We start from the raw sequence: 21,586 nt of genomic DNA on the forward strand, positions 1-21,586 counted from the left end.
AGATGATCCTGGAGCACGTTCAGGGAGGAGGGCAGGAGCCAGGTCTGGCTCAGCTCCCCAAGTCAGCGGCACTTCTTGCCTTCAGCTGAAGCTGGGAGACCCATCCTACGGTCAGGCTGAGGGCCGCCAGAGCCTGCGGCCAGGCCTAACACTAGGCAGAGACGACTCTGCAGCTGTCTGCTCACACTCACTGCCAGTCACGCTTCACTCCACTTTCCTGCTCTGAAAATCACGTCCTGGCAACCTGCCCATCGGACCTGGAGCCAGCCTTGCCCTCTCCACTGCGGGCCTGTAGGCCTGGCCTTGAACCCCAGCCTGCTGACATGCTTCTCAAGCTACAGGCCCATTGCTTTGGCCCTCTGATTCTGGCTGACCATGGGCCACAGAGAGGAATAGGGGGCAGCTGATGCTGGCAGTTGTAGACTGCACAAGCAGGACCCATCTCTGGGCCCTTTCCATCAAGCCTGGTCTGGTGGCCAGTGTGGTGGGCACCCCACTAGACCCCTTGATCCGGTAGTGAGTTCCAGAAGAAAAGGCACAGCTCCAAAGCTCATCTGGAGCAAACTCTGTTCTCCTAATCTCCATTCACTTCTCAAATTTCCCGACCCCCGCAAGCTTCACTGGCCTCCTAGAACCTCCCTACCAAAGGAAAAGGTTAAGTGGTCATTTCTTTAACTCTCATTTCTCTTTCGGGGACAGAGCCTGCTATTCAGGGGCATCAGGGAAGCAGGGGAAATAAGGATGGGAGTGATTAAGTGCATGTCCAAAACCAGCTCTCTGATCTCATGACTTTCTTGTACCCTTGGTACAAGTGCTCCAGAGAGAACTGAGTTGTGAAATGACAGGTAAAAACAGCACAGTGAAAACCCTTCTTGCTTTGAACAGAAAATGCAGTTGGTGCCTGTGAGTTATTTGTTTCTCCTTTGCTTTGGAAAGAGATTGTCTAGAGAATTTGGAAACCTACATCCCATTTCAGAAAGCAGACCAGATTTCTGCTGACAGTTAGTTTGGCAGGGGGTAGAGTTTGTCTGTTTTTGCCATGAGAGCTCGTTTTCTGGGGGACACACCACACGGTTCTAATTCTAGATGCCAGCAAAGCTGCGCCTTTAACCATGAAACTTGAATTAGCATTGAATGGCTTTTGAGTTTTTATTTAGGATGCATTTTAAGAAAATACAAGGCCCTCCAGCTGCAAACAGTAAGTGCCACCAAGGACTATGTGAGTTAAACATCTTTAGGATCTGTAGTCAGCCTTCCTGTGCTTTGGGAGTTTCAGGAACTTTCAACCACAGAGTACTGTGTTCAGTTGTGTCAGAAAATGACTGGGGTTGGATTTCTCCTAAGCTCTCAAAGGCTTTGAATCTTTGACATAGTGTTGTTAACATAGTTAAACTGTTTTCTACACAGAAGGCTTACTCAATACAACAAATTAGCAATACAAGAAAAGTTAGGTAAAGTTTCTATAGAAAATTCAGATCCTACAATGTTAGATTAATTTAACAACATGAAAAAATGTCCAGAGCTGTAGGTGTGATGAACTGAAGGCTCCCCCTGCTTTTGGAGGCAGCAGGAGCGCAGTACAGAAGCATGCGTTTGACACTCACAACCCGCTGCCATCCTATCATCATGTTAGGTTTCATCTTTCCAACTGGACTGCAGTTGCTGAGGTTAGCCTCCGTATACTATCCTGGTCTTGCCCCCATTTCCTAGTACAGTGAAACAATGGATGCTCTGGAATGTTTGTTGATTAAATAATTGAGATCACACATGGATACACTAGAAACTTTTTTGCAGGGCAGCATTCTTTCGGTTAGTGGGATTCTGTTCTGGGTAGAGAAGCTGCTTCCCTCATTCTCTCCCTAAGAACCTAAATTCCATCAAGAGGACACAATCACACCAGCAAGAGAAACTAGTAGGACAACTGAAATTCATCACAGGAGGCCACAAAAGAGTTAATTCAGCTCTGATATGAGGATTATGAGACAAGGGTATAAGGATTACACACAATGGATTTATAAAAGAATACAATTTTTTTTAAAGGACAAAAGTAGTGACTAGGGACGTTTGTTTCAGATGAAGAAATAACCATGTTAACCTTTTAAACATTTGCATCTGTGAATTGTAGCGGCTCAACATAAAGCAGATTGCCTACATCCACTGCAGCCATTCTGGCATGAGAAAGTTCTCTTGCCTAAAGCAAAACAGATGTGTGAGAGGAAAAAGCAAAGTCTCTTATGGGTGTATCAACATTCATAATTATATAGTTATCTCAGGAACTATAGATCGTGTGAAGCAATGAATATGGAATCCTTCCCATATTTTTTCCCTAAAAACTCAGTATAAAAAGCAGAAACTTAATATTGAAAAAACACTAATTATAAAGGCAGATGAAAAAGTTAACAGTGTATTCACATTTCATCCATACATTTTTTTTTTCTTTTTGGCCAACTGAACTAATCCTGTACCAGTGATTAAATATTCAGAATTTTTGGCCAAGTGCTGCCTAAGAGAGATCCACTTGACTGTTCAAGCAATTAGAAAAAGTGCCACATCCTTGCATGTGCCTCCAAGCAGGAAAGAGCACATCAGGGACATCTGCATATGTGTTCACATATGGGATTCACAGGCAAATCAACTTGGAAATGGGAAAGTACACAAAGGCTACCCCACTTGAGATGCAGGTCAGTATTTACAGAGCAGTGGGCAGGTGCTCGGCTGTCTGCTAGGTCCTGGGAAAGGTACAGGAGAAACACAGGCAAGAGCATGGGCACTGAACAGGAAGGAAAACAATACCCTGGAGGGCACAGCCCCCTAGCCCAAAAGAAGAGTATTTACAGTGGGGAGGGGAGGACAGAGCATGGACAAAGTCTCAACAAGCAATCATCCGAAACCAGGCTGGGAAAGTTGTTTAAGGAAATTTCAAGTTTGAATGATATGTAAAACGTGTATATGTAACAGATGAGAAGTGGCTACACAACAATCAAATCAATTTGGTAAAGATAAATGCTAATACGATTAAAATGACCCCAAATATTTGTATTATCACATTATTATAGAAATGAAGTCATATGAACATTCTGTTCAAACACACACACACACACACACACACACACACACACACACATGATATCACAATTTAGCATTAAATGCAGCTTAGAGGGCTTGAAATTGTACTGGTACACATGAGTTTAATAATAATTGATGGGCTGATGTGGTGGCTCATGCCTGTAATCCCAGCACTTTGGGAGGCTGAGGCAGGTGGATTGCTTGAGCTCAGGAGTTCAAGACCAGCCTGGGTAACATGGCGAAACCCTGTCTCTACAAAATACAAAAATTAACCGGGCATGGTGGCATGTGCCTATAGTCTCAGTTACTCAGGAGGCTGATATGGGAGGATTGCTGGAGCCCAGGTGATCGAGGCTGCAGTGAGCCGTGCTCACACCACTACGCTCCAGCCTGGGCAACACAGTGAGACCCTGTCTCAAAAAATTTATAATAATAATTGATGATAAAAAAGTTTACAAATTATGTGTACAGAGATGGAATAAGTAAATTTCTTCCTTCCTTCCTTTCTTTTTTTTTTCTCTTGCTCTGTCACCCAGGCTGGAGTGCAGTGGTGCAATCTCGGCTCACTGCAACCTCTGCCTCCCGGGTTCAAGTGATTCTCCTGCCTCAGCCTCCCAGGTAGCTGGGATTACAGGCATGTGCCACCACACCGGCTAATTTTTGTATTTTTAGTAGAGATGGGGTTTCTCCATGTTGGCCAGGCTAGTCTTGAACTCCTGACCTCAGGAGATCCACCCACCTCAGCCTCCCAAAGTGCTGAGTTTACAGGTGTGATCCACCACGCCCAGCCAATATATTTTCATGAACAGTTTTTCTACTTATGCAGTTATACAAATTAAACATGAGATATAATCTCTACCTGAAGTCATATAGCATTTACTTATCACTTTTAAAAAATGCAAGGCCAGGCACAGTGACTCACACCTGTAATCCCAACACTTTGTGAGGCTGAGGTAGGAGGATTACTTGAGTCCAGGAATTCAAGACCAGCCTGGGCAGCAAAGTGAGTCCCCATCTCTACAAAAAATAAAAAATTAGTTGGGCATGGTAGCACATGCCTGTGGTCCCAGCTATTCAGGAGGCTGAGGTGGGAGGATCACTTGAGCCAGGGAGCTCAAGGCTGCAGTGAGCCGAGAGGATGCCTTTGTGCTCATCCTGGAGGACAGAGGGAGACCCTGTCTCACAAAACAAAAAAAAAAGCAGTGATTTGTACTCCAGATAATAGAGTCATGCAGTACTATAAAAATCTCTTCTCATTTTGTATTTATTATGAGTACTGGCAAAAGAGAGGGTCATCTTCATTTTCTTCTGATTTTTTAAACATAAAATATTTGCTGAAATTGTTTTCTAATATACAAAATTGTTTGAGTGAAAGAAAAAGAACTATAAAACACAAGTACCAAACAGTCTCCAATAAAAACACTTAGATAATAATCCATTTGGAAAGAATGAGCTCCAAATATGGATTTTATGAGTAAACAAAGGTTCTGTATTGCAAAAGTTAATAGACTGTCTTCACATTTAATTTCATGACCACTTCCTCTGTTTGACTCTTCTGTGGCATAGCTTGAGATGTCTGCAAGCCCTGCTACTTCTGAAGGAAAATATACAGAGCAAAAAGACATGCTGTTAATCAAAGACTCTGGCATCTGAATTTAATAATCAGATGCCATTTGGAGTCTATACAGTTTTTCAATAGTGTAACACACAAATCAGTCAGCACATACATTTCAATAGTGATTAATCTCTTTTTACATGCACATCTGCGATCCCTTATGAAATAGTCTTAAAAGCAACCTAATAAGAAAGGAGAAAGAACCTGTGGGTCAAAAAGGATCATCATGAAGCCAAGAGATGTTGAGTCAGTCTTTCCCTAAGTCTCTCACCACATAAAGCTACTGCGCCTTTATTTACATATTTTTCCCAACTGAAATGGTCTCTCCTCTCTTTTAAAGGCCCACTCTTTTTTTTGAAGTCTTCAGGGAATTCCATGTAGGAACATTCTTCCTCTTCCCACCTAATATGTCACTGGTTCATCATTTTCTCTGTTACTCACTTGCTTCTGTAGCACCCACTGTTGGGTGTTGTTCGTTATCTTTATGTATGTCTACCTCCTGTTCCCTAACTCAGTTATACGGTCTTACAGGACAAAGAACTATGGATTATATGCTTTCCATGTCTACAGCAAGCTTCCTCAAAGTGTGGTCCTTGAATCACCAGAAATTCCTTGGATGTTTGATCAAAATATAGCTGAGAGATCCTGAAGCTGCATGAAGGGAGGGCCTAGGAAGCTGCATTTTCAGCATGCTGCCCAGGTGACTTTAATTCACATCAAGGATTGAGGACCCCTGTATACAAGGACTAAGAGAGTGCTATGAATAGAATGGGTACCAAGAAGTATTTGTTGAATATATAAGGGCACACAAAGTAAAAAAAACCCCAAACTAAAACAACAAAACCAACCAAACAAACAAAAAACAATGTGCAAAGTTAAAGGCGTTGGGATTATTTAGTCTTGTGCCTGTAAGTTTAATCACAACCCAATTATCGAAAAGATTATTGAAGTTGACTGTAGTAAAGCATTATTTTAAAGAGATTGCTTATTTTCTAGTCGCATGGTTGCTGAATAAGGCAAACGATCTCCCCTAAACTCCTAATTAGAAGATCATAATGGTCATCTCCTTTCCCCTTCTCCACCCTTCCCTGTTGACCTTCCCCAAGAATCCTTTCCTTGGCTTTCCTTCTTGTCTCTATTGCTTTTTCCCTGCTTTTTTCTATGAGACTGACTGCTTTTCACTCATCTCACTGTGGCTTGCAGCTTCAAGAACAGAAGAGAGCAGGCCACAAAGACAAATTAGAACAAGACACCCCTCTCTGTGCCAGAAAGTGTGACTTGGCAAATGGAGGACAGGCTGTGCCCCTGTGCAGTTAGCAACCTGTGAAACTGTATGTGGCAGCCTGTCAAAAAAGGTGGAGGAAAGCATCTGGGCCTACATTTTCCTGAAGATGGCTTTTCAAAATTTCTGTTTTTAGCTGACTTCACTCTTCTCTATATGCTATTAGGTAATAAGAAAAGTTCCAAACATTATTCACTGGGATGCTCAAAAGTAAGCTACATGTGCCATATTACTGTAAGACAAGTATAAAGGGCTTGCATTTTATTTCCACAAGGAATGAATAAAGGGAAAGGAATTTACTTTTGGGAAAAGGTAACACAAAGAACTTTGGTCTATGAAGGACACAAATGAATTCTCATCTTCAAAGATATTTTGAAATAATATAAGAAATGACCCATCTGTGGTAGTTTATGGTTGATCTAAGTAAGACAGCCTCCTGGGGCCCCTTCTTTCTTGGAGAAGGCACTTTTCCTATGATGCCAGGTTCCTAGTTCCCGCCTCTTCTGCCACTTCTGCAGGAGCCACCCGAGGCCTTGAGGGGCCCTTTCAGAACCTTGGGTCTGAAGTCATTTCTTATGCCCTGGGTTATCATCTTCAGTAGAAAGTTGGTGGTAGCTACAACAGCAGCGAGCACTCAGGCCAGTCTGTAAAACACACAAAATGACTTTCCTGAAGATATACAGATTTCTCAGGGTACGGTTGTATCAGGACTGCATTTCTAGTCCAGGAGATTTCTTACAATCTCACTAGACTGTGAATTCCTAAAGGGCAAGGACTGTCTCCTTCATTATTCTAGTGCCTAACAGGGCCTAGAAAAGAAGGTGCTCAACAAAGACTCTTACTGATTAAGGGGGCTTGATTAGCTCTGTCAGCAAATTCTGCCTCCAAAAGTCCTTCTCTGTTTGGCTCCCGGAGAATATTTCCCTTCTGTGTGTCACTCCCCAGCCCCACCCTCAGTCACAGATTTCTGGTCCCTGAACCCTGGATTTCCAGGTGTCATTCCAAGGTCAGGTGGAACCAAGGGCTCCATGGTCTTCACCCCCTGGTGTTACTCCTGAGATTATGTTATGTTTGGTGGGAAAAGGAATTCTGCAGATGCCATTAAGGTTACTAATCAGAGAGCATCTGCATGGGCCTAACCTAATCACATGAGCCTTTTAAAAGTAGGGAATTTTCTCCAGCTTGTTACAGAAGCGAGATTCTTGTTACAGTTGAGAGATTCTAATTGTGAGAGGGATTCAACAAGAGGAAGCTTCTCCATTGCTGACTTTACCATGAAAGGGTCAATGGGACAAGAACTTGAGAAGCTGAGGGTAGTCCTTGCGGAGACAACAGGGACTTCAGTCCTACAACCACAGCAACTGAATTCTGCCAACAACCTGAGCAAGCTTGGAAGAAGGTTCTTCTGCAAAGCCTCCAGGTAAGAGCCCAACCTGACTGACACCTTGAATTCAGCCCTCTGAGACCCTAAGCAGAGAACCCAGTTGAGCCTGCCCAGCCTTCAGACCTACAGAACTGTGAGGTAGTAAACAGGTGTTATTTTAAGCTGCTAAATTTGTGGTAATTTGCTATACAGCGATAGGAAATAAATGCAGCAGCCCTCTGGGCCCTTCTGTAGCAGTACCCTCCTTGTCTTCCGGACTTCAGTTCAATCAGTTCTCTACTGGGAGAGATAAAGAATGATCATTAGTAGGCACAAAATAACAACAGCTATGGTGACCACTGTTGTCCTTGTTCACTGACCAATAATCCAACTGCTTCACTCTCTCTGGTTTATGCTTCCCTCCCCAAACCCACACATCCTTCACAGCTTCCTCTCTGTTCTTTCTCTAGGTGAGCTTTGGCAATTTATGGTAAAAGCCTCTATCCTTGAGCTATATCCTTTATGTTCCCAGGACCCACTCGGCTTCAACATAAGCAAATAGAAATATAAATAAAGATAAAAGTATGTGTAGATCCTGCAGAATATCTACAGTCAGGTCTGGGGCAATAAATGGGTGCCTTTAAGAGTCAGATCTGATTTGAACAGAAATAAATCAAATTAAGATCTCTGATAGGCCGGGCGCGGTGGCTCACACCTGTACTCCCAGCACTTTGGGAGGCCAAGAGGGGTGAATCACCTAAGGTCAGGAGTCCGAGACCAGCCTGACCAATATGGTGAAACCACCTCTCTACTAAAAATACAAGAATTAGCTGGGTGTGGTGCCATATGCCTGTACTCCCAGCTACTCAGGAGGCTGAGGCAGGAGAATCTCCTGAACCTGGGAGGCAAGGGTTGCAGCGAGCTGAGAGTACGCCACTGTACTCCAGCCTGGGCAACAGAGTGACAGCGAGACTCTGCCTCAAAAAACCCAAAAAAACAAAACAAAAAATGTCTCTGATATACAACTAAGGGCTGGGCACAGTGGCTTACATCTGTAATCCCAACACTTTGGGAGGCCAAGGCAGGTGGATCACTTGAGGTCAGGAGTTCAAGACCAGCCTGGCCAACATGGTAAATCCTCGTCTCTACTAAAAATACAAAAAAATTAGCTGGGCATGGCAGCACGTACCTGTGGTCCCAGCTACTCAGCTGGCTGAGGTAGGAGAATGACTTGAACCCAGGAGACAGAGGTTGCAGTGAACCAAGATCACACCACTGCACTCCAGCCTGGGTGACAGAGCAAGACTCCGTCCCCCTGTGCCGCCCCCCAAAGAAAGATCTCTGATATACAATTAAGATCTCTGTGGATCTCTGATATACAGCTAAGATCTCTGTAGATCTCTGATACACAACTAAGATCTCTGTAGATCTCTGATACACAACTAAGATCTCTGTAGATCTCTGATACACAACTAAGATCTCTGTAGATCTCTGATATACAACTAAGGCTGCACAGGCTTGAGCATCTAGGGCCGAGACAGCTGCAATCTTGGATACTCTTAGTTATATCTGAGATAAAAGTCCTGCATCTGAGATACATATCTGAGATAAAAACTCCCATTTGTAAGGTTCAGGGCTTTACCCAAACTACATGGTGCTCAGCAGAATGGCCATCTAGAATCTTGCACGGTTCGCATTTCATTTCTTCTTTCAGAAACCCCACTTTCCTTGGGTTTAAATGGAAAGAACCCATAAAATAAAGCTCTTTTTTTTTTTTTTTTTTTTTTTTTTTTTTTGAGACAGAGTCTCGCTCTGTCGCCCAGGCTGGAGTGCAGTGGCGTGATCTCAATCTCGGCTCACTGCAAGCTCCGCCTCCTGGGTCCATGCCATTCTCCTGCCTCAGCCTCTTGAGTAGCTGGGACTTCAGGCGCCCGCTACCAGAAGGGACATGCTTTTCAAGTGTCTTGCTTGATCTCCTATCATAATGAATCCTTCCTTTCTCCTTAAGCAACCTTGCTCAATCCTCTTTTTAGGACTAACTTGATTCTGTTTTGCATTGCAAGCAGTTGTTTATAGATGCCCCCTCCCACCCTTGCCCTGGCCCTCTCTGGCTCCTTAGGGGCAGAGGCCATGTCCCATTGATCTTTACACTTCCCTGGGGCCTGCACAGTGAGCAGTGAATACCCGTTGAAGGAGTTTAATTTCTGCATGGAGTTAGATTTATAGTTGAGATTTCCTTTGCTGTTAGGTTTCAGGTAGGTGCTTAAGATCCCTTGATCCAGGGAGAAAAGGGCCAGGCGGCAGTTGCCACTCAGTCTGCTTCTGAAATCTCCCCACAGGAGTAAGGAAGGGGCTGCTGGGAGGTGATGGTCCTACCATCATGAGGAGGTTGAAAGAAAGGGTAGGGGAAGGAAGCTCCGAGGGCCAACCTCACTTCCCATCCCTCAGCCAGCAGCAAGCAGGGCTGCTTCTCAAATTTGATCTGTTCTCTGCCTTGGCAAAGACCAAGTGCATTCCCTGTATGTGAAACAATGCAGTTGCTGTTTCAAGGCAGACAAAAAGACTGTGGGTGGGAAAATATGAGGAAAGTCTTTTTCGTGACTTATTTTTTTTCAAAACGTATGTTGTGAGAAAAGGTGTCATGAAGATAAAATATGCAGTAAATTCTGAATCATGAAGGAAAAACATTTCCCACTGTCCTCTAAAATCTACTATATTTAGTTATTTATTCAATCACTCAGCACACTTCAAATGTGCCCTGACTAGGTGATGCTTCCCTTTGGGAGATTTGTGTATGTGCTTGTCTTCTAGACTGGAGGGTCTCCAGGGCTGGGACCTTCCACAGTTCGTCTTCATATCCCTAATGCCTAGCACTGTGACAGCAAGAGCTCAGGAGATGGCAGAGCCACAGAGACTGAAGGGGGCCACAGAGGTAGAGAGGAAAAAGGCAGAGCCAAGGGGCCTGGGAGGCCAAGTGCTTTAGGACAAGCACTGGCAAATGGCACAGAAGGGCCAAGTCAGCTCATGCTGAAAAGGAGCCAAGGGATTCAGAAAACCCACTGGTCACCTGCAGGGGGCTGCTATGGTTTGTTGCTCCAAAATCCATATGTTGGAACCCCCAAGGTGATGGCATTAAGAGGTGGGGCCATTGGGAAGTGATTAGGCCCTGGGGGCTCCACCCTCATGGATAGGATTAGTGCCTTTATCCAAGAACCTGAGGAAGAGAGTTCTTCCCTTTTCCCCTTTTGTCCCTTCTGCCACGTGAGGACTCAATGTTTCTCTCCTCTGGAAGATGCAGCCACAGGGCACCATCTTGGAAGCAGAAAGGAGCCCTCACCAGACACCAAATCTGCCGGCACCTCAGTCTTAGACTTCCCAGCCTCCAGAACTGTGAGAAATAAAGTTTTATTATTTATAAATTACCCAGTCTGTGGTATTTTGTTAAAGCAGTAGCAATGGATTTAGGGATATTTAGGAAACAAGGTTGATTGCAGTTGGGTCAAAAGTAAATGGAAGAAACATTCACTGATATCTACAAATAAACATGTTTTTAAAAGTCTCTACTAAAAATACAGAAATTAGCTGGGTGTGGTGGTGGACGCCTATAGTCCCACCTACTCGGGAGGCTGAGGCAGGAGAATCGCTTGAACCCGGGAGGTAGAGGTTGCAGTGAGTCGAAATCGCACCACTGCACTCCAGCCTGGGCAACAGAGCAAGACTCCAACTCAAAAAAGAAAAAAAAATCATGTAAATATACACTGCTACATGACTGGCTAAATAAACTACAGAATACCATGCAGCAGTTAAAAGAATAAAGTAGACCTTTATCAGGGTTTCTCAGCCTCAGCATTATTGACATTTCAGGTGGAAAACTCTTTGTCATAGGGCTGTTCTGTGCATTGTGGGATGTTTAGTACATCCCTGACTTCTACCTACTAGATGCCAATAGCATTCCCCACTCAGGTCGTGACCACCAAAAATGCCTGCAAAAATTGCCAAATCTCCCCTGGGGGGCTCACTAGCCCCTGGTTGAAAACCACTGATTTATACTTACGGATCTGGAAAGATCTCCAAGACAGATCATTGACAGAAAAAAGTATGTGGCAAAAAAAAAACCCCACAACATTTTATATGATATTATCTATGTAAAAAAAAAAAAGTATTGTACACACCACTGCTCCATAAATCCATATTGTATACATAAGCACATCTAAAGTGGTCTATAAAGTCAAAACTGTTAGCAGTGGTCACCTCTGTGGAGGGGGACAGGGAATAAGGGTCATAGTGAACTTTGTTTTGTTTTATTTATTTATTTATCTGAGACGGAGTTTTGCTCTTGTCACCCAGGCTAGAGTGCAATAGCGTGATCTCAGCTCACTGCAACCTCTGCCTCCCGGGTTCAAGCTATTCTCCTGCCTCAGCCTCCTGAGTAGCTGGGATTACAGGCATCCACCAGCACGCCCAGCTAATTTTTTTGTAATTTTAGTAGAGACAGAGTTTCACCATGTCAGCCAGGTTGGTCTCGAACTCCTGACCTCAGATGATCCACCCACCTCAGCCTCCCAAAGTGCTGGGATTACAGGCGTGAGCCACTGCACTGGGCCAATTTTGGTTTTATTTGTATGGCTGTGTTTAAACAAATAATGAAAATGGAAATGTATTTGGTGTTAAAATTAGTAAATGAATGGAAATTGAAGATATGGAGAAAGCACATGCAAACTACTTCTGACAAGGTTTAGTGGTGAGAGTGAGGCAGAATTCAAGGAAGGAATTTTTAGAATGTGGGAAAATTGAGCACTGCTAAATTCAGTCAAGTTACAATTTTGTATAAAGCACTATGAGGAGGCGGTGCATATCTTCTAGAATGCTTCTACTTATTAGCTCAAGATTTCAATAACACTTTGCCAGCAATGACTTTCCCACTAGAATTAAATATGCATGAAATAACAGAATTCCTCTTTCTGTTTTTCTACCACATGTTTCTTTAATTTGTGTTTCTTTGGTGTGTGTACAGCTTTCTCTAACTAAACTGCTGATGCCATTATGGAAACTGTCACTCTTCAGAGTTGGAAAGACCCAAGAATAAAAGCTGACTCTGACTTGTTTGGTCTGGCGTGGCTGGGGATACTGCAGGAGTGTATTTGTTTTTCATTAATTTGTTTGTCATTTTTCTCCATGATCTATGGAACATTTATTTCCCCTGAAGCAAAAAGACCTGAAATGTCAAAGGTTTTTTGGTTTCTGTTGGGGTAATGAATTGTTGAGAAAAAGAGATTTTTTCTTATATGCTATTTTATTGTAGAAAGAGACATTTTGTGACCTTTTGCTGTTTTACAGTGATAATGAATTTTCTGACAGACTTGGAAACTTTGGGCTTCTATGTTAAAATAATAAAGTTTGAGGAATAACATTGACCTGGACCTTTGGAGAATTAATCAAATACAGATTTTGGAAAATTGATGACTTTGGTCTTTATCAAGACACTCTAGTTTATTACTGTCATCAAGGCAGTACACAGATTTATACCACATAAAAACATCCAACAATTAACTACAGACCCAAGTCCCTGAACAGAGATTTTGACACTCTTGGTGGTTGGGAGGTTTAGGCCCAGGAGACCTTCAGCCTGATCAGTGTTGCTTTGTTGCCTTTTTTCTTTGTTCTTTTTCAAAAATTTAGTTGCAAAAGTAATAGGTACACTGAATTGAATAAAAACGATACTAAAAATTATACATAATCTCACCCTCTAAAGCTAACTGACCATTATAACAATTTGGTATTCTCTTTCTAATCCTGTTTTTTTCTTCGTTTGTTTGTTTTTTGAGACGGAGTCTTGCTCTGTCACCCAGGCTGGAGTGCAGTGGCGTGATCTCGGCTTACTGCAAGCTCTGCCTTCCGGGTTCACGCCATTCTCCTGCCTCAGCCTCCTGAGTAGCTGGGACTACAGATGTGTGCCACCATGCCCAGCTAATTTTTGTATTTTTAGTAGAGGCAGGGTTTCACCATGTTGGCCAGGATGGTCTCGATCTCTTGACCTCATGATCCGCCCGCCTCGGCCTCCCAAAGTGCTGGGATTACAGGCGTGAGCCAACACGCCTGGCCTCTAATCCTGTTTTAATGTCTATATTATTTTTACACAACTGAGATACTGAATACAAAATTTTATTATTTTGTGGTTTTTCCTCTCAAATATTGCATATAATGTTTTGTTTCTAATCTCAAAACACTTTAAAGGAAAACTGTAGGAACATTAATAAATTCTACCATTGTCCCTATGAATGTGATGATTAGATCCATTTTTCACATGCTCTGAAATTGTAGGTGTGTTTTTGCTTTTATTTTTGGGAGGTGAGAAAACAGGTTCACTGAGTCCAGGAGGCAGGCCAAGCTCACATAATGATGACACTGGGCAAGATGCTCTGTGTCCCTTGGAGACACAGTAACTGACCAATGGGTGTCCCAGTGACTACTTTGGCCTGGTGTGTAATACCAGGCCACAGAAATCTCTCAGCCATTTAAGAGGCATGAGCATGGGGAATTTTCCTCTTTTGCACAAAGTAGTGGCACTCCTAATCACCTAGTTTCTCTACTAAAACTCTTTCTGGGGACTTTTTGGGGTTTGCCTATACCCATCCATAGTACTTCCGCAAGATCAGAGGAAGTACTTGAAAGAAGTCAGAACCCATAGCCTAAGTAGGTTTCCCCAAGAATGTTCATAGGAGAAGAAATCTGCTACCTGATTCTTGATTTCCAGGGACCTTCTTCTAGGGTGGTAGATACTGAGCTCCTTGCCATTTTTTAGAAGCTTGGGTTTTCTTTCTGAATGTTCACATAAGGAGAAAACCAGGAACAAAAGGAAAAGAGACCAAGCTTCTGTGATGAGCTCTAAAATCTTCATGTCTTGCTGGCTTGAATATATCTTAAACTTTTTTTCAGCAAATGCATCATGTTACTTTAGGATCAGAAAACATTTTGGCATTTGGATAATCTGAAAGATAATGTAAATTGCTATACAACTAGCTTAAATAGAAATGTGGGGGAAGAGATTATAAATACTTATGATATAATTTGGATATCTGTTTCCTCCAAATCTCATGTTGAAATGTGATCCCCAATGTTGGAGGGGGGGCACAGTGGGGAGTGTTTGGGCCATAGGGGCAGATCTCTCATAAATGGCTTGATGCCCTCCTTGAGTCTTGTTCTGTTCATGTTTTAAAGAGCTGTTCTTTAAAAGAGCCTGGCATCTCTCTTGCTGCCACTCTTGCCATGTGCATACCTGCTCTCCCTTTGCCTTCTGTCTGAGGCCTCATCATAAGCTGAGCAGATGCTGGTGCCATGCTTGTACAGCCTGCAGAATCATGAGCGAAATAAACCTCTTTTAAATTACCCAGTCTCAGACATTCCTTTACAGCAACGCAAAACAGACTAATACAATTTATAAAACAGTTCTGAAATTCAAGGTCTTACATCTCTGTCTTTAATTAGATATCTTAGAAAAAATATTTAGTCTTAAATACTTATACAAATATTTTAAATTCTAAAGATTGAGCTTCAAATTGGGTGAAAGTCCTCTAGACTAGGGGCTCAATATTCAAATTGTAGTCAGAGACCCAGCAGTATTGGCACCACTCAGGAGTCTGTTAGAAATGCTGAATTTGGGCCCCACCCCAGCCTGACTGAATCAGGTGATTCGTGTGCACATTCAGGTATGAAAGGCACTGCTTTAAGTGTAGGGTAATAGACCAGATGTGTGGAATGCCAATGTTTTCACCTAGTATTCCCAGGTGAGTTCCTAGGATATACAGGAAAGTTATCAGACCTGTTCACAGCCTGCTGTTTTCTTCCTCATTAATAGCCTAATTTCTGGTATTATCTTTTCATCATGACTTAACTAATCATCAGAATCTGCCCCCAACTGCTGAGAGAGACAGTAGCTCATAACTATCTGTGATTTTCTGAAGTAGGAAAACAATGCCAAGATTATTGTCCTCTTGGTTTTCAGTCAGGTTAAGATAGGCAGAAAAGAAGATGGCTGGTTTAAAAGCATTTTAACAGCTGCACTGGTAATATACTGCATTTTGACAGATGTGGTTAGTAACTCTAAGGAGTGCATTTTTCTCTCACTTGCTTACTTTTGTTTCTAGAAGTAAAACAGCCTATGGGTAATAATAAGTTTTCAGAAGTATTCAAAAGTAGGCCTACGGTCAGGAATGTGTTTGGTTTAGCAGTTAGGAGAATTTAAACTCAAATCCAGTTGGTTTTTAATTCAGCTTAATCACCAAAACCTGATAAAGTGCCACCAAGTTATCTAAAAGCAAGCAGATACTGCACAATGGAAGAGTTGATGTCATCCTTGGAGCTGCCAAACCATCAACAATTTGGAAAGCGATTTTAAAGAGAAAATGTAAAATATGAAAAATGTAGTTCTTAGCTTTTCTTACATGCTCTTCCAAGTGTCTGTGATTTATGGGCATCTTTTTCCTTTCTTTTCTAAATTGGTTTTCACTGTCATTATTTTCATTTAAAAAATGTTTATTCATTTCAGCTCAATGCAGGGTAAATGCTGCTGTTTATAATTTGTGGAAAGACTAAGAAAAAAATCCCATATACATTTGAAAATATGATTACAATTAGAAAAAGGGAAAGGTTTAGATTCCTTTTCAGTCTCTAACATTTGTTTTTTAAAACATTAGTTGTTAACAATTAGAAATCAAGTACTATATTCTAACTTGTCCAAAAAATAACCCAGATCCAATCTTCAACTTTCTTTAAATAAAATGTATTTATGTCACAAATAATTCTTATATCTCAGTCAAAAGATAAGGGAAGGTAGTACTTAAGCTGACTTTCTCATTCCTCTTTTATTATTTTTTTCTTTTTTGAGAAAGAAGCTAAAAGTCAGCTATAAGCACTGAACTATTTTTTTCGAAGGAGTTTTTACAAAATGATGTAAAAGAAAGGATCTGAAATGAATATAAATAGTTCAAATACCCATGACTTCCTCTTTAAGTCATTTTAAATTTATACTAATGTCAGTCTCAAGTAAACCTCAGTCTCTTAAACTTGCCATCAATTAAGCCAAATCTAAGCTTTCTTACGTCTCACTTTACAAACAAGCATTAGCTATTACAATCAAGTACCTCTGACATCTATCCAATCTTTTCCATAGATCTTTTTTAAAGGTTAAAAAAGTTAACCCCATGTCTTTCCTTTTTCTTTCTTTTTTTTTTTTTGATGGAGTCTCGCTCTGTTGCCCAGGCTGGAGTGCAGTGGCACGATCTTGGCTCACTGCAACCTCTGCCTCCTGAGTTCAAGGGATTCTTCTGCCTTAGCCTCCCAAGCAGCTGGGACTACAGGCGTGCACCACCATGCCTGACTACTTTTTGTATTTTCAGTAGAGATGGGGTTTCACCATTTTGGTCAGGCTGGTCTTAAACCCCTGACCTTGTGATCTGCTCGCCTCAGCCTCCCAAAGTGCTGGGATTACAGGCATGAGCCACCATGCCTGGCCCCTTTTTTCATTTTTTCTTTAAGAAAAGACATTTATTCAACAACTACTTATTGTGCTACTGTTCTAGATGTTTGGGTATAGAAAAGAACACAAAAGACTAAATTGTCTGCCCTCGTGGAACTTGTATTTTAATGGAGACAGGAGGATGATAAATAAATATTTAAAAAATAATATGTGCTCTAAAGAAAGGCAGGTACTGGGGGCAGGGGGTAGCTACACAGTGCCTAGAACACAGTGCACTGTCAACAATGGTTAGTTTCTTTTCTTTATTGCTCTCCATGTGATTTCTCTCAACTCCTTTTACTTAATTGTGTATATTCTCTGGTTCAAAACTGCTTCTGTGAAGGCATTTAGGAAAGAAAACAAATAGCACAGGTGTTACCCCTCATGTATTAAAGGAAGAAGCTAAAGCTGACTGCAAGCTCTTTTGCTGTGAAAACAGTATGATACCCCCAAAATAAGTGAGAGAGATACTAACAGACTTCTACAAACATTCCAAATTTGAAAATAAGGGCAGGTAACAGGGCAGAATGGAAGCCTCCAAGGGGGAACCTATTTGGCTGCCATGGGTCAGGAGCATTAGGAATCACCTATGACAGGAAGTCCCAGAGCATCCCTGGCATATCAGAAGGAAAGGGCACCTACAGGGGGTTCATCCTAATAGGGGCACAGCCAGCTGCATACCTAGAACAGAGTCCAGATAGTGACAAGAGACTGTAAACCTGGCCCCAGATCAACGGCTCCATCAAATAGAGCCCACCTAGACATGATTTTCTCTTTCTAGGATGGCCCACTGTACCAGTCACTTCTCATCCATAGGCTATTAGACCACTAAACTAGTTATAAATATCTTATATAAACTACTTCTCCTGCCTTTTTTTTGAAATAGAGTCTTGCTCTGTCGCCCAGGCTGGAGTGCAGTGGTGCACTCTCAGCTCACTGCAACCTCTGCCTCCCCGGTTCAAGCAATCCTCCCACCTTAGCCTCCCTAGTAACTGGGACTACAGGTGTGTGCCACCATGCCCGGCTACTTTTTTGTATTTTTTAGTAAAGACGGGGTTTTGCCATGTTGGCCAGGCTGGTCTTGAGCTCCTGGCCTCATGCAATCCACCCACCTTGGCATCCCAAAGTGCTGGGATTACAAGCATGAGCCACTGTGCCCAGCCCCTCCTGCCTTTATACTTGAGATTATTCTAACACTTTGCTGAGATGGATTCCAAGGATAATCCAGCAATATCATTTTTAGTAAAAACCAGCCTACAAAGGAAAATTTATATTTTACTCATATGACTGAATCAGGCCCACCCAGGACTTCCTCTTGGTTGAGGCACTTAAGGATATGGGACTTGGATTACATCTATCAAGTCCTTTCAGGCAGTGCCTAAACCAGCCTTTGTTTGGATAATTGGGAGAGAAATGGCTAGACTTTGACTAGGGCTGTCATTCCAAAGAATTCTGGGACCCACAGTCCTAACGGCAAAACAAGAGTCTCTACAAATAAACTTCCACAATTTCTGATTTTTTTTTTTTTTTACTTCACTGAGAGTTTCCGGTCAAACAGGAAGTGCTGAAACCCCAGCATCTATATAACCACCTGTGGAATTAGCAGATTTTTCTTTATTTTGGGATTAAAATAGTGCAGACACAAAGGGACTTTCCTGTGGACAACAGCAATAGCTGTTTTAAAAATTCTACAAACTAAGAATAGGAGGGAGTTTTCTTACACTGATAAAGAGTATAAAAAAAATCTGCAATCGATATCATACTGAACGGTGAAATGTTGAAAGCTCTCCCTAAATAGAAATAGAAAAAGCCCACCAAAATATTAACAATGCTTATTTCTGGGTAGCAGAATAATAGGTTTAGGGTGATTTTTTTTGTGTGTATTTTTAAAAATTTTGAGCTTTTCTGTATTTTTAAAAATTTCTTGCACCACCCCCCCATCTATTATTTGTACAAAAGGAGCTTCCCTGCTGCATACAGGATGAAATCCCATCTCCTTAGTGTGACATATTGTCCTTGTTTAGCTTTCCCATCTCTTCTTTCATGCCTCCCCTTTGTCCCCCAAATAGGCTCACACACCTTTTGCTCACAGCCTTTTCTATTTCCTTTGATGGTCTTTTCCACCTAGGAACTCTTTGAGGTTCAGTGGAGGTGAAAGAGGGCCTGAGTGTTTTAGCCCTCCTTCACTCTCATAGCAACTATCAGACTCCATGGAAATGATCTGACAATTAAGTACAACTTGTAACGTCTCTACCACCATAGCTTTCAACTGTTATCTGATTTTCTTTTAACTTTTTGTATGTTCTTGTTCTCTCCAACTAGGTTATAAGCGACTTGTTGTATTTTTCATGAAGTCTAGGGCAACACAGCAGGTATTTGTGGTAGCAGAATAATGGCCCCCTAAAGATATCCACGTCCCAATCCCCAGGACCTGTGAATATGTTAGGTTACACGGCAAAGGGGCATTCAGGCTGCAGATGGAATTAAGATTGCTAATCAGCTGACTTTCAAATAGGGAGGTGATTCTAGATTATTTATCCAGGTGGGCCCAATGTTATCACAAGAGTCCAGAAAAGTTGAAGAAGGAGGCAGAACAGGTCAGACAAGATGAGATGATGGAAGCCAGGTTCAAAGAATGTGCTAGAAAAGGACCCAACCTTCCATTGCTGGCTTTGAAGATGGAGGAAGGAGGCCATGGGCCAAGGAATGTAGGCAGCCTCTAGAAGCAGGAAAAGGCAAGGAAATGGGATGTCCCCTCAGCCTTTGGAAGGGACTGCAGCCCTGCCAATCGGTACCCTGGATTTAGTCCAGTGAGACCCATGTCAGACTTCTGACCTACAGAACTGAAAACATTCAAAAAATACGAAAATAGAGTGATGGTTAAGTATTGGTTGTTTTAAGCCATTGAGTTTATGGTAATTTGTTTGATCAGTGATAGAAAACTAATAGTGTTAAATATTCTTTTCCTTCATTCACATTAAAATCAAGAAAGATAAAACTAAAGTTGTTGAAGTAATGGACAAATTTAAAGATATCCTTTTTGAGAACACCTTTCCTAATCACTCCCAAATGCTGTCACTTCTTCATTTGTCCTTACTGCTTATATTATATCACTTATCATTTGTTCTACTTTATTTTATAACTGTGTTAATATCCTTTCCTGGGCATATGTTTTCCTCTGATTCAAAAGAATCTTTAGAAGCAGGGGCCATATACTCATTCCCTAGGTATTTTCTGCCAGAGGTAACAGACTTCAGTCTATAAATGCCTGATTACTAACATCTTACATTATGGGTTACTAAACAGGCCGTTTAGTCTGTTTTCAACAACGTCCCAGAAATGTTTTCAAAAGTTTTATTTCAGCCTTATACACAAGCACCCTAAAACCCCTAAAAATTCTGACAAGATCAATAAATATTTACAAAATAGATTTACTTTGTAAATTTTAATTTCATTGGATATGTTCCCTAAAATTTTATGAGGTTTTATGTTTTTACAGAATTTTATGGTAGACTCTTTCAAGAAAGATGGATATATTTATCTTTACAGATGGTAAGACTGGGGAACTGAGGTAGGAGAATGACTGGTCCAGACTGGGAGAGGAAAAAAGGAGTCTGGACACCACCAAATCTTTACCAGACCTGGGGAGGCTCCAGGGTGGAAGACGGAAGGGGCGGAGCCACTGGACCTGAGAGGGACTGTTTGGAAGTTAGTCTGCTTTTGTGTTGAAATTCAAAATCAGCATAGAACCTTTAATCAACTATAATTAACAGGCTACACTTGGAAGCTATGGCTAAAATTTCTAGGCTGTACCAGAATTAAAGAAAAGTAAGCAAATAAATAAATGGTCAGTTGGACATGAGACAGTTTGGCATCAAAGTAACCCTGGGGAAAAAAAAACAAACGCTGATGTACAAATGGAGTTATGGGCCACTAACCACGTGGTGCTGTAGAGAAGGGATCTGGTGAGGCAGCTGGCCCTTCATCAAATGGCCTAACTCCAGATGCAGGGCCAGGCCAAGTCCTTCAGGTCAGCTTCTGTGATCTGGCTCAGAGAAGCCCTAGAAAATGTTGCTTACCCTGATTTCTCCAAACATAAAATTGGGGCAGCGGGATTTGCCATTTCTGCGTAGCCTAGGCCAGTGGTGAGAGTTAATTAGTGTTTTTAAAGTGCTGTGGATTTGGTTTGGTTTGTGTATTTTCTCGGGATGAAAGCCAGGATGCCAGCACCAAGTGTTAACAGTGAAGGTTTCATGCGTGCTCCTTGAGATGTGCTGTGTGAAGTGGGGTGGAGGGGATACGAGGCTTGTGGGACTGCCTTTGGCATCAAAAAGGCCACATTTCCAAACAGACTTTAGTGCTCCCCAAAGCGGAGGGGGCAGACTAGAAGCCTTTGAAAATTAAAAAGGAGAAAGCTATCTGTGTTTTGGCTCTGTGATTGAGGGCATGTAGCAACCCACACCAAGGAAAATTTGACGAGCTGCTAAAGACAAATATTGGCAACTAGAGACGACACAAAATTCTAACTGCTCTGACCTAGTACAGGCAGGCACGGAAGCAGCAACTCCCACTCTATAAGAACCCAGCAGATTTCAGATATTCCATGCTTACCGGAACCCTCCTTGGAGGTGGTTTTCACAAATAAAGCTTTATGGCTTTATTCCTGATTAAGGAAGTCACATGTGCTCATAATTTAAAATTAAAACTAGAGAAATACATAAAGTGAAAAGTGCAACTTTCCCACCC

General features: G+C 42.0%; 1 protein-coding gene across 6 annotated transcripts in view, besides 1 other annotated feature; it reads right to left on the bottom strand.

The window, feature by feature from the left end:
* ARSB (arylsulfatase B) overlaps positions 1–21,586 on the bottom strand; it is a 208,750-nt gene that overhangs the window by 32,299 nt on the left and 154,865 nt on the right. Inside the window, exons 7-8 of one of the 6 annotated variants that reach the window (XR_001742065.3) lie at positions 14,063–14,674; positions 6,004–6,607 (exon numbers count right to left, since the gene is read on the bottom strand). The exons of 3 other annotated variants lie outside the window; for them this stretch is intronic. Coding sequence is in view for 2 of the 3 variants with exons in the window: in XM_017009471.3 (XP_016864960.1) it covers positions 14,532–14,674 (143 nt within the window). In the remaining variant the exon portion in view is untranslated. Of the gene's footprint in view, positions 1–6,003; positions 6,608–11,923; positions 14,675–21,586 lie in introns of those variants that run through there. 2 more of the 6 variants (NM_198709.3, XM_017009471.3) reach the window with 2 other exon arrangements.
* Positions 177–677: an enhancer, noted in NCBI's record as "H3K4me1 hESC enhancer chr5:78105507-78106007 (GRCh37/hg19 assembly coordinates)". NCBI's record gives its function as "activates a minimal SCP1, AML or CMV promoter by ChIP-STARR-seq in naive H9 embryonic stem cells {active_cell/tissue: H9 hESC(naive)}" and the evidence as "EXISTENCE:reporter gene assay evidence [ECO:0000049][PMID:30033119]".

Source organism: Homo sapiens, chromosome 5 (genome assembly GCF_000001405.40).
Source record: "Homo sapiens chromosome 5, GRCh38.p14 Primary Assembly".
NCBI lineage: Eukaryota > Metazoa > Chordata > Mammalia > Primates > Hominidae > Homo > Homo sapiens.